At 37.0% G+C, this 13529-nt stretch overlaps 1 protein-coding gene across 7 annotated transcripts in view, besides 1 other annotated feature; it reads left to right on the top strand.

Annotated features, from left to right (window-relative positions):
- Positions 1–13529, top strand: part of CD55 (CD55 molecule (Cromer blood group)) — a 39289-nt gene that overhangs the window by 16946 nt on the left and 8814 nt on the right. For 2 of the 7 annotated variants that reach the window (NM_001300904.2, NM_000574.5), the window contains exon 9: positions 774–794. In NM_001300904.2, the coding sequence (NP_001287833.1) occupies positions 774–794 (21 nt within the window). Of the gene's footprint in view, positions 1–773; positions 795–1767; positions 2144–8508; positions 8634–8823; positions 12949–13529 lie in introns of those variants that run through there. The other 5 variants (XR_007095644.1, NR_125349.2, NM_001114752.3 and 2 more) reach the window with 5 other exon arrangements.
- Positions 7723–8223: an enhancer, noted in NCBI's record as "H3K4me1 hESC enhancer chr1:207519691-207520191 (GRCh37/hg19 assembly coordinates)". NCBI's record gives its function as "activates a minimal SCP1, AML or CMV promoter by ChIP-STARR-seq in naive H9 embryonic stem cells {active_cell/tissue: H9 hESC(naive)}" and the evidence as "EXISTENCE:reporter gene assay evidence [ECO:0000049][PMID:30033119]".

Below are 13529 nucleotides of genomic sequence, written 5' to 3' on the forward strand. Positions count from 1 at the left end.
AAAAAAATTGTAGCCACCACTTACTGAGTATATACTATAGTGATATGTTCCGTTCACCTTCTGTTTGATGCCACTCGTCTGTACCACAACCTTGCAAAGTATCTTCAGATTGATTTTATAGATGAGGAATTAGAGGCTTAGAGATTAATTCATCCAGTTCATATCCAGTGCACAGTTTAATCCTGCACTTTTTCTGCTGAGTAATATTGCTTGTTCTAAATGGCACTCTTGAGTCAATGTGTTCACCTCGCTTAGGAGAGCAGCTTATTTATTGTTATAAATATGCTTATCTGAAAGTAAATTTATTTTTGCAATGCCCCATCCGTAGTCATTGAAAGATATAAATAATAAGGTGATATGGCATTTTTGAGTTTTGATATAGTCTGCTAAAAGGGACTTAGTCGTCTTATAGTTTCTTGTTAGTAGGATTGGATCAGCAATTATTTACTGTTTAAGTTTTCAAACATGTTTCTTGCCCTCAAGTCCTATAACCAAATTTAAATGGCATTTGTTTTGGTAATCAATAACTCTTTATCATAATTTATATTTACAGTGTTGATTCTGTTGAACAGGTATAGACAGTAATGTTTACATTCTACTTGATTAAGTTAATGTGTAATTGTTTTTATAAATTTATAATTATTTCATTTGTGGAAATTTGAGTTGCTTTCGAGTTTTCTAGTGTAGTTTATTGATAGTATATGAAATTGCTAGCAAATCAATGACTTTAACAAATTTTTGTTGTTAATCCTTTTTTTCCCCTTCGTCTGTAGGTACTACCCGTCTTCTATCTGGTAAGTTTGGCTCTCAGGCCATTAAAAGAAATTGTTTTCACTGTGGGATATACAATCCATATTCCTGGGAGATAATATTGTCTTCTTGTTTTTAAAAAAATGTATCCTGCAATTTATTTTTAAACTTTTTAGTATGGAAAACTTTAAACGTCACTCAAATAGGGAAAATAGTACAGTGAATCCTCATATACTCGCTCGGATTCAGCAATTTTCAACTCATGGATACCCACTTCACCCACACTCCCTGGATTATTTGGAAGATAATCCCAGACATCGTATCATTTCCTTCATAAACATTTCACTAAGTAACCTTTATAAAAACATAACCATGTAGCATACCTAAAAAAATCCAGTAATTCCTTAATATCAGCAAATATTTAGTCAATATCCAAACTTCCCTGATTATCTTATAATTTTTTAATTGATACATAATGTTTTATATATTTATGAGGTACATGTGATATTTTGTTACATGCATGGACTGTGTGATTCTCAAGTTGGTATTTGGGGTATTCATCACCTTGAGTATTATTTTTGTGTGTTGGAAACATTTTAGGTCCTTTCTTCTAGTGACTATGAAAAATATATCACACATTATTGCTAACTATACTCACCCTACTCTGCTATTGAATATTAGAATGTAATCCTTCTATCTAATTGTATGTTTATACCCATCGGCCAAAGTCTCTTCATCCTCCCTCCTACTCACACACTTTTCTCAGCCTCTGGTATCTAACATTCTTCTCTCTACCTCCATGAGAACTTTTTTAGGTCTCACATGTGAGTAAGAGCATGTGATATTTGTCTTTTTTGCTTGGCTTATTTCATTTAATATAATGGCCTCTAGTTCCATTCATGTTGCTGCAAATGACATAACTTTATTCTTTTTATGGCTGAATGTATTTCATTCTATATATGCTAGATTTGTTTTCTTTCTTTTCTTTTTTTTATTTTTATTTTTTTTTTGAGACAGGTTCTCGTCCTGTCACCCAGGCTGGTATGCGGTGGTGTGATCGTAGCTCACTGCAGTCTCGAACTCCTGGGTTCAAGCGATCCTTCCACTTCAGCCTCCCAAGTAGCTGGTACTACAGGTGTGTGCCACGACACCCGGCTAAGTTTTTGAAATTTATTTTTTGTAGAGACAGGATTTTCCTATGTTGCCCAGGCTGGTTTCAAACTCCTGGCCGTAAGCGATTTTTCCGGCCTCCCAAAACGTTGCGATTATAAGTGTGAGCCACTGCACCTGGCCCCACATTTTCTTTATCCATTTGTACATTGATGGACACTTAAGATGATTCCATATCTTTGCTATTGTGAATAGTGCTTCAATAAATATGTGAATGCACATATCTTTTTGATATATTGGTTTTATTTTCCTTTGGATAAATACCCAGTAGTGGGATTGCTGGATCCTAAGATAGTTATATTTTTTTATGTTTTCAGGAACCTCCATATTGTTTTCCACAGTGGTTGTACTAATTTACATTCTCACCAACAGTATATAAGATTTCCCTTTTCTTCACGTCCTCACCAGCGTCTGTTATTTTTTGTCTAAAAATGGCCATTCTAACTGAGGTTAAGAACTGATAGCTCATTGTGGAGCTTGATTTGCATTTCCATGATGATTAGTGATGAGCAGTTTTTCATATACCTGCTGAGAAATGTCTGTTCATGTCTTTTGCCCACTTTTTAGTGTGATTATTTGTTTTTCGCTAGTAAGTTGAGTTCGTTGTATATTCTGGATATTAGTACCTTTACAGATGAATAGTTTATAGATATTTTCTTCCATTTAGCAGGTTGTCTCTTCACTCTGTTGATTGTTTCCTTTGCTGTACACAAGCTTTTTAGTTTAATATAGTCCTATTTATCTATTTTTGTTTTTATTGTCTATGCTTTTGAGGTTTTAGCCATTAAACCTTTGCCTAGACTAATGTCCTGTAGCATCTTCCTGATGTTTTCTTCTAGTATTTTTATAGTTGTGGATCTTATGTTTAAGTTTTTAATCATCTCGATTTGATTTTTGTACATGGTGAGGGGCAGAGGTCCAGTTTCATTCTTCTGTATTTTCCCAGCACTATTTATTGAAGAAGGTATCCATTTTCCAATGTATGTTCTTGGCACCTTTGTAAAAAAATCAGTTAGCTATAAATATGTGGATTTATTTCTGGGTTCTCTATTCTGTTCCATTATTCTGTGTGCCTGTTTTTATACCAATACCATGCTGTTTTTGGTTACTATAACCTTATATTTTGAAGTCAGGTAGCGTGATGCTGCCAGCTTTGTTTTTGCTCGGGTTGTGTTAGCTCTTTGGACTCTTTTGGTTCCACAATCATTTTAGGACTTTTTTTTTTCTATTTCTGTGAAAAATGGCATTGATATCTTGATAGGGGTTGTACTGAATCTTTAGATTGCTTTGGCAGTGTAGTCATTTTAACAATAATAGCTCTTCCAGTCCGTGAGCATGGGATGTCTTTCCCTTTGTGCCCTCTTCGATTTCTTTTATCTATGTTTTGTAGTTTTCCTTGTAGGGGTCTTTCACCTCCTTAGTTAAATCTGTTCCTAGGTATTTTATTTATTTTTTTAGTTATTGTCAATGGAATTGCCTTCTTGATTTCTTTCTCAGTTTGTTCATTATTGTATAGAAATGTTATTGATTTTTGTATGTTGATCTTGTTTCCTGCAACTGTACTGAATTTATCAGATCTAAGAGTTTTTGGTGAAGTCTTTAAGGATTTTTTTTTACATATAAAATCGTATCATTAAAAAAGAGGGACAATTTGACTTCCTCTATTCCAGTTTGGATGCCTTTTATTTCTTTCTTTTGCCTGGCTGCAAGTTAATAAATGAAAACTTGGTTCTCTATGAGCCAAATGAAACTTGGTTCTTCAATGAAATGGAAACTAGGGCTTACAGCATTATGTTGAATAGAAGTGGTGAAAGTAGACATCCTTCTCTTGATCCAGTTCTTAGAAGAAAGGCTTTCAGCTTTTCCTCATTCAACAGAATATTAGCTGTGGGTTTGTCATGTATGACCTTTATGATGTTAATATGCTTCTTCTATGCCTAGTTTGTTGAGAGTTTTATTGATTTCTATGTGTTGAATCATCCTTGCATCCCTGGTCGAAATCCCACTTGGTCTTGGCATACTAATTTTTTGATGTGGTGTTGGATTTGGTTTGCTAATACTTTGCTGAGAATTTTTGTGTCTATATTCATCAAGAGTATTGGCCTGTGATTTTGTTGTTCTTGTTGTGTTCTTGTCTGGTTTTGGTATCAGGGTAATGCTGGCCTTATAGAATGAGTTAGGGAAAGTTTCCTCCTCTTCAATTTTTTGGAATTGTTTCAGGAGAATTGGTATTAGTTCTCTTTTGTATGTTTGGTAGCATTTGGCTTTGAATCCATCCAGTCCTGGGCTTTTCTTTGTCAGGAGACTTTTTATTACAATTCAGTCTTACTACTCATTATTGGTCTGTTCAGATTTTCTGTTTCTTCCTGACTCAGTCTTGATAGGGAGCATGTCTCCAAGAATTTATTCATTTCCTCTAGGTTTTCCAGTTTGTCAATGTATAGGTGTTTATAATAGTCTCTGATATTTTGTATTTCTGTGGTATCAGTTGTAATGTCTCTTTTTTCATTTCTGATTTTATTTGGGGCTTCTCTCTTTTTTTCTTGGTTAGTCTAGCAAGTACTTTATCAGTTTGGTTTATCTTTTCAAAAAAACAAGTTTTCACTTTATTGTTTTTTAGTCTCTATTTTGTTTAGCTCTGCTCTGATTTTTCTTACTTCTTTCCTTCTGCTAATTTTGGGGTTGGTTTGTTCTTCCTTCTCTAGTTCCTTAAGATGCATTGTTAGATTGTTTATTTGAAATCTTTCTACTTTTTTGATGTAATCATTTATTGCTGTAAACTTCCCTGTTAGCACTGCTTTTGCTATGTCTGATAAGTTTTGCTACACTGTTGCCATTTCTATTTTTTCAAGAAATTTTTTGTCTAATCCTGAATTTCTCCCTTGACCTAATGGTCATTCAGAAGCATGTTGTTTAATTTTCATTTATTTGTACGGTTTCCAAAGTTCCTGTTGTTATTAATTTCTAGTTTAATTCCATTATGGTTTGAGAAGATACTTGATACAATTTTGACTTTTTCAAATTTATTGAGACTTGTTTGGTATCCTAACATATGTTCTATTCTGGAGATTGTTTCATGTGCCATTGAGAAAATTCTGTAGCTATTGGGTGAACTCTTCTGTTAGTGTCTGTTAGGTCCATTTGGTCTAATGTGCAATTTAAATCCAATGTTTCTTTGTGAATTTTTTGTCCAGATGAGCTAATGCTGACAGTGGGATGTTGAAGTTCTTAACAATTATTGTATTGGAGTCTATCCCTTTAGATTGGACAATATTTGCTTTATATGTTTGGGTACTCCAGGATTGGGTGCATACATACTTAGAATTGTTATATCCTCTTGCTGAATTGATCTCTTTGTCAATTATATAATGACCTCCTTTGTCTCTTTTTACTGTTTTTTACCTAAAGTCTGTTTCATCTGATATAAGTACAGCTACTCCTGTTTGTTTTTGGTTTGTGTTAGCATGGAGTATCTTTTTCCATCTCTTTACTTTCAGTCACAATGTGTTTTCACAGATGAGATGAATTTCTTGAAAGAAACGTATAGTTGGGTTGTGTTTTTGCATCCATTCAGCCAGTATACATCTTTTAAGAGGAAAGTTTAATCTGTTTACATTCAGGGTTATTGATATGTGAGGAATTATTCCTGTCATCTTATTAATTGATTTCTGGTTGTTTTGTTCCTTTTGTTCTCTCTTATTATTGTGATGTAGAGTTTTTCTTTCATAACATTTTAGTCTTTTCTCTTCTTTGTGTGTTTGCTCTACCAGTGGTTTTTAAAATTTCTGTGTGTTTTCATGATTGTAGATATCATTCTTTCTCTTCTGGGTATAGCACTCCCTTAAGCATTTCTTGTAAGCCATCTCATGGTGATGAATTCCATCATGGTGATTAATTCCATCAGCTTTCTTTTGTCTGGGAAAGACATTGTTTCTCCTTCATTTATGAAGGATAACTTTCCTAATCCTTGGTTGGTAGTCTTTTTCTTTCAGCGCTTTGAGTATATCATCCCGTTCTCTCCTGGCCTGTAAGGTTTCTGCTGAGAAATCCATTGTTAGTCTGATGGGTTTCCTTTATAAGTGACTAGATGCTTTTCCCTTGCTGTTTTTAGAACTCTCTCTGTCTTTGACTTTTGACAGTTTGAGTATAGTTTGTCATGGAGAAAACCTTTTTTTTTTTTTGGTTTTGAGACAGAGTCTCATTCTGTCACTCAGCCTGGAGTACAGTGGCGCAATCTCAGCTCACTGCAGCCTCTGCCTCCCAAGTTCAAGCGATTCTCCCACCTCAGCCTCCTGAGTAGTAGCTGGGATTACAGGTGTGTGTTACCACACCCATCTAATTTTTGTATTTTTAATAGAGACAGGGTTTCACCATGTTGGCCAGTCTGGTCTCGAACTCCTGACCTCAGGTGATCCACCTGCCTCGGCCTCCCAAAGTGCTGGGATTACAGGCATGAGCCACCGCACCGGGCCAGAGAAGACCTTTTTAAATTGTATCTACTTGGTGATCTCTGAGCCTCCTGTGTCAGGATGTCTACATTTCTTGTTAGACTTGAGAAATTTTCCTCTGTTGTTTTAGTAATAGATTTTCTAATCCTTTCACTTTCTCTTCACCTTCTGAGACTCCTAAAATTTGAATAGTTGGCCACTTTAGGGTGTCCCATATGTCATGTAAACTTTGCCCATTTTTTTATTCTTTTTTCCTTATTCTTATCTGACTGTGTTATCTCAAAAGACCTGTCTTCAAGTTCTGAGATTCTTTCTTCTGCTTGATCTAGCCTATTATTGATGCTTTCAAGTATATTATGTATTTAATATTTCATCAAGTATATTATGTATTTCATCAATAAATTATTTCCAGAAGTTGTTTGGTTCTTTTATATGTATCTTTTTTTGATAAACATCTCATTAATATCCTGAATTGTTTTTCTGATTTCTTTGTATTTTTTTAAAACAAATTTTAAAGTTTGTATCTCACCTCCCTGAGCTTTTTTAATATCACAACTTTGAATTCTTTTCCCAGAATTTTGTAAGTTTACTTTTGATTGGGATCTGTTGCTGGAGAATTATTGTGTTCCTTTGGTGGTATCATATTTTCTTGTTTTTTCACGTTTCCTGCATCCTGAAGTTGATATCTGTGCATCTGATGTGATATTTGCTGTTTCTAATTTTTCAAATTTGCTTTTGTAGGGGAGGACTTTTCCTGAAGATGTATTTATGGTGTCAGTTAGGTGGGGCACTTTGGCTTTAATTCTGGGTGCATGCAGTAGTGTAGTTTCTGTATGACTTTCAGCTGTAAATATCATCAGTGGTATCTGTCATTTCCTCAGTGCTTTAGGATGCGGTTACTAGTGGAGATTTGCTAGGGAATAGGATGCCATGTGGGCCAATGTTCGGACCCAAGTGTTGGCAGTGGTGGGCTGAGTTTGCCTGTCCTTGGGCCCAGGGTGATGTTGCTGGCACCAGTGTTAGCAAGCCCAATCAGGCCAGTTATTGGGTCTCCAGGTGGCTCACTTGGGTGCCAGAAATGGCGGGTGACCTGGTTCTCAGGCTACTTGGCAGCAAGTGGGGGCATGGGTGATGGCAGTAGTAGTGGTGGGACAACCCTGTGGGACACAAGCAGTCTGTGCCAGTGTTGGCTGTGGGTGCGGTGATTGGGTGGATCAGTTTCCAGGTCTGCAGGTGGCTTACCAGCTGTGATGTTAGTGGCAGGTTGAGTGGGCCTGACTTCAGACACCAGGAAGAGTGCTCAGCTGCTATTGGTGGTGGACTGGCTGAGCATCCGGGTACCTGATGGCAGGCTTGTGTACTGAGAGGGTGACGCTGGGCCAGATGGACTTGTCCTCAGGCCTCCCTGTGGTGCATGTGAGTGCTGGCTGTGGTAGGAAGAGGTAGAGTATTCCTAGGCTACTGGTGGAATGCTTAGGTGAGGACAGTGTGGCTGTGCTGTGGACCAGCTACTTGGGACAGCAGTGTTGTTTTCAGTTGGGAGCAGCCACAGAGAGGTGGCTGGGGCACATGCAGTTTGCTCATGCCTCAGCCCAAAGCAGCCAGCAGCAGCCATAGCCGCATGCACTGGAATTTGTCCTCAGGGAACCAGAAAATGCCTGGCTGCTCCTCTATTGGGGGTGTCAGGTCGCTGCCAGTGGCTCCTGCTTTGGCTTAGGCAACAGTGGCCACAGAGCAAGATGCAGTCTGGGAGGGGCTGGGCTCTCAAAATAGTCTTGTGCTGTGGCTGCTTAGGACTCAGTGGTTTATAGTACTCAGTGTGAACTTACTCTCTGGAGTAATGCCATCACACTGTCTCCAGGCAGCTTCCTATGTTAGATCTAGAGCCTACGAGAATCAAGGGACTCCTGTAGCTAGGATTGTGGGAGTCTTCAGAGGGAATGTGGACTGCTGGGGTTCTCTCACTTACTCTTTTCCTGCATTAGGGAGTCTCTCCAGGCTTCCAGGCAATCTCAGCCAAACAGGCTGCCTTGCTTCTGTCTCCTTCCTTGCTTTGGTGCATCCTGTCACTTGTTTGTTAAATTCTAGTGTTCTCTCTTTGATGATCTCTTCAAAATGTGATTATGTAATTCCTGCTTAGGTTTCTCTCCATGGAAGAGGAGAAGACCAGAGGCATCTAGTCAGACATCTTGAAGCCACTCCCCATGATACTGTCTTAGGAAAACAATCAACATGTAGCATTCATGGATACCAAAGGGAAAATGGGTAAACACATTTTTTTTTTTTTAGACGGAATCTCGCTCTGTCACCCAGGCTGGAGTGCAGTGGCGTGATCTCGGCTCACTGCAAGCTCTGCCTCCCGGGTTCACGCCATTCTCCTGCCTCAGCCTCCCAAGTAGCTGGGACTATAGGCGCCTGCCACCACACCCGGCTAATTTTTTGTATTTTTCAGTAGAGACGGTGTTTCACCGTGTTATCCAGGATGGTCTTGATCTCCTGGCCTCGAGATCTGCCTGCCTCGGCCTCCCAAAGTGCTGGGATTACAGGCGTGAGCCACCGCACCTGGCCAGGTAAACACATTTTTTTTCTTCCACCTTTTATTTTAGGTTTGGGAGGTACAGGTGAAGGTTTGTTACATGGGTAAATTGTGTGTCATTAGGGTTGAGTGTACATAATATTTCATCACCCAGGTAGTGAGCTTAGTACCCAATAGGTAGTTTATTGATTCTCACCCTCCTCCCACCTTCCATTCTCAAATAAGCCCTGGTGGCCATTGTTCCCTTCTTTGCATCCATGTGTACTCATTGTTTAGTTCCCACTTATAGGTGAGAAGATGCAGTATTTGGTTTTCTGTTCCTGCATTAATTCACTTAGGATAATGGTTTCCAGCTGCATCCATATTACTGCAAAGGACATGATTTCATTCCTTTCTATGTTTGTGTAATATCCCGTGGTGTATATATACCACATTTTCTTTATCCAGTTCACCACTGATGTGCATCTAGGTTGATTCCATGTTATTGTGAAAAGTGCTGATGAACATATGTGTGCATATGTCTTTATGGTAGAATGATTTTTGTTGGTTTGGGTATATACCCAATAATGAGATTGCTAGGTCACATGGTGGTTCTAAGTTCTTTGAGAAATCTCCAAACTGCTTTCCACAGAGGCTGAACTAATTACATTCCCACCAGCAATGTATAAGTGTTCTCTGTTTTCCACAACCTTACCAACATTTGTTATTTTTTCACTTTTTAATAATAGCCATTCTGTCTGCTATGAGATGGTATCTCATTGTGGTTTTGATTGCATTTCTCTAATGATTAGTGATGTTGAGCATTTTTTTCATATGCTTGTTGGCCTCATGTATGTCTTCTTTTGAGAAGTGTCTGTTTATGTCCTTTGCCCATTTTTTAAGGGTTGGTTTGATTTTTGTTTGTTGATTTGTTTAAGTTCCTTAGAGATTTTGAATATTAGAACTTTGTTAGATGCATAGTTTGCAAATATTTTCTCCTTTTCTGTAGGTTGTCTGTTTTCTCTGTTGATATATATTTTTTTGCCATGCAGAAGCACTTTAGTTTAATTATGTCCCACTTGTCAATTTTTGTTTTTGTTGCAATTGCTTTTGGAGACCTCATCATGAAATATTTACCAACACCTATGTCAGAATGGTATTTCCTAGGTTTTCTTCTAGAGTTTTTATACTTTTAGGTTTTAAGTTTAATTCTTTAATCCATATTGAGTTGATTTTTGTATATGGTGAAAGGTAGGGGTCCATTTTCAATCTTCTGCATATGGCTAGCCAGTTATAGCATTTATTGAATAGAGAATCCATTCCCCATTGCTTGTTATTGTCGACTTCATTGAAGATCAGATGGTTGTAGGGGTGTGGCTTTATATCTGGGTTTTCTAACCTCTTCCATTGGTCTATGTGTCTATTTTTGTACCAGTACCATGCTGTTTTGGTTACTGTAGCCTTGTAATATAGTTTGAAATCAGGTAGTGTGATGCTTCCAGCTTTGTTCTTTTTACTTACGGTTGTTTTGGCTATTTGGGTTCTTTTTTGATTCCATATGAATTTTAGAATGTATATTTTTTAATTCTCTGAAAGATATCATTGGTAGTTTGATAGGAATAGCATTGGATCTATAAATTGCTTTAGGCAGTATGGCCCTTTTTAAAAATTTTGTATTAATTTTTTTTTTTTTTGAGACAGAGTCTCACTCTGTCACTCAGGCTGGAGTGCAGTGGCATGATCTTGGTTCACTGCAACCTCCGTCTCCTGGGTTCAAGTGATTCTCTTGCCTCAGCCTCCCAAGTAGCTACGATTACAGGTGCACACCACCACACCCAGCTAATTTTTGTATTTCTAGTAGAGATGAGGTTTCACCATGTTGGCCAAGCTAGTCTCAAACTCCTGACCTCAAGTGATCCACCTGCCTCAGCCTTGCAAAGTGCTGGGATTACAGGCATGAGCCACCATGCCCGCAGTATGGCCCTTTTAAAAATATTTATTCTTCCTATGCATGAGCATGGAATATTTTTCCATTTGTTTGTATTGTCTCTGTCTTCTTTGTTTTGTATTTCTCTATAGAGATCATTCACCTCCCTGGTTAGCTGTATTCATAGGTATTTTATCCTTTTGTGGCTATTGTGAATAGGATTGCATTCTTGATTTGGCTGTCAGCTTGACATTGTTGGTGTATAGAAATGCTTCTGATTTTTGTACCCCGAAGCTTTACTGATGTTGTTTAACAGTTCTAAAAGCTTTTGGGCAGACTATGGAGTATTCTAGGTTTAAACTCATATCATCTGTGAAGAGAGATAGTTTACTTCCTCTCTTCCTATATGGATGCCTTTTATTTCCTTGCCTGATTGCTGTGGCTAGGATTTCCAGTACCATGTTGAATAGGAATGATAATAATGGACATCCTTGTCTTGTACTGGTTTTCAAGGTGAATGCTTCCAGCTTTTGCTCATTCAGTATGATGTTGGCTGTGGGTTTTTCCTGGCGGCTCTTATTATTTTGTGGTATGTTCCTTTGATGCCTAGTTTGTTGATGACTTTTAACATGAAGGGATGTTGAATGTTGTCAAAAGCCTTTTCTACAACAATTGAGATGATCATGTGGTTTTTTTGTTTGTAGTTCTGTTTATGTGATGAATCACATTTATTGATTTGGATATGTTGAGCCAACCTTGCATCCCAGGAATAAAGCCTACTTGATCGTGGTAAGTTAGGTATTTGATGTGCTGCTGGATTTGATCTGCTAGTATTTTGTTGAGGATTTTTGCATTTACTTTCATCAGGGATGTTGGCCTGAAGTTTTCTTTTTTTGTCCTGTCTCTTTGCCAGATTTTGGTATCAGTGTGATGCTGGCCTTATAGAATGAGGAGTCCCTCCTCCTTGATTTTTGGCATAGTTTCAGTATGATTGGTACCGGCTCTTGTTTGTATGTTTGGTGGAATTTGTCTGTGAATCCATCTGGTACAGGGCTCTTTCTGGTTGGTAGGTTTTTTAAATTACTGATTCAATTTAAGAACTTGTTATTGGTCTGTTCAGGTATTTAATTTCTTCCTGGTTCAATCTTAGGAGGTTGTATTTTTCCAAGAATTTACCATTTCTTCTACGTTTTCTAGTTTATGTACATAGAGGTGTTCAAAATAGTCTCTGAGGGTGTTTTGTATTTCTGTGGGGTTGGTGGTAATGTCCCCTTTGTCATCTGAGATTGTGTTTATTTGGATGTTCTCTCTCTTTATTAATCTAGCTAGTTGTCTATCAATCTTATTTATTCTTTCAAAAAACCAGCTTTGGTTTTGTTGATCTTTTGTATGGATTTTTGCATCTCAATTTTATTCAGTTCAGCTCTGATTTTGGTTATTTTTTTTCTTCTGCTAGCTTTTGGGTTGGTTTGCTCTTGTTTTTTCTACATCCTCTAGAGGTGATGTTACTTTGTTAATTTGAGATTTTTCTAACATTTTGATGTAGGTGTTTAATGCTACAAACTTTCCTCTTGACATTGTTCTGGCTGTGTCCCAGACACTCTGGTATGTTGTATCTTTGTTTTCACTAGTTTCAAAGAATTTCTTGATTTCTGCCTTAATTTTCAGAATGCCAAAAGTCATTCAGGATTAGGTTGTTTAATTTCCATGTTATTGTATAGTTTTAAGAGATCTTCCTGGTATTGATTTATATTTTATGCTGTGGCCTAAGAGTATGGTTAGTATGATTTTGGTTTTTTGAATTTGTTTAAAATTGCTTTATGGTTGAGCATGTGGTCAATCTTAGAGTATGTGCTATGTGCAGATGAGAAGAATGTATATCCTGTTGTTCTTGGGTGTAATGTTATGTAGATGTCTGTTAAGTCCATTTGGTCAAGTGTCAAGTTTAGGTCATGAATATCTTTGTTAGTTTTCTGCCTTGATTATGTGTCTAACATTGTCAATGGGGTGTTGAAGTCTCCCACTATATTGTGTGGTTATTTCCATCTCTTCATAGGTCTTTAAGAACTTGTCTTATGAATCTGGATGATCCAGTGTTGGATCTGAAAAGAGTAATAAAAACATTATCATTACTATCATTATTATTTATTGTGGTTATTTTATATTTTGAATGAACTTCTAAGCTAAAAGATTTATCTTGAAAGATTCCAACTGTTGGAATTCACTTTGTTTTAAATAGAAATAAATGTGTTTCAAATGAAAGTCTGATGATTTAATGATCACAAAAGTGATGAGTTTAATAAATGAGTTTTTTCTCACCTGCTCAATGGCACTCAATGAAGGTTTGAAATGCCTTTTTTTCCTGAAATTCTTTAAGTATTATACCCTTTGATTTTCTAGAAAACTTTCCTTAGTCGGCATTCCAGCTTGTGTTAAAAAATAAAGAGGAAGTCCTTCCTTCTTAAACTGGACATATGGCAACATTTTTTGTGTGTGATTTCATATTTGTAGGACATAAACCTGAAAATTATATTCATTAAATTTATTATGTGAATGAGGTTACTCTTCTTTAAAGATAAATTAACTCTACTGCAAGAAAATTGTTTCATCAATTACACTGCAATGTAAGTAAAATGATACAGATGATCTTTGAATTTTGGAAGTATTTGATTTTTTTTTCCTATTCTGCTAAGGAAGAAAGACTGACTAATGTTACAGA

This window comes from Homo sapiens, chromosome 1, assembly GCF_000001405.40.
Source record: "Homo sapiens chromosome 1, GRCh38.p14 Primary Assembly".
Lineage (NCBI taxonomy): Eukaryota > Metazoa > Chordata > Mammalia > Primates > Hominidae > Homo > Homo sapiens.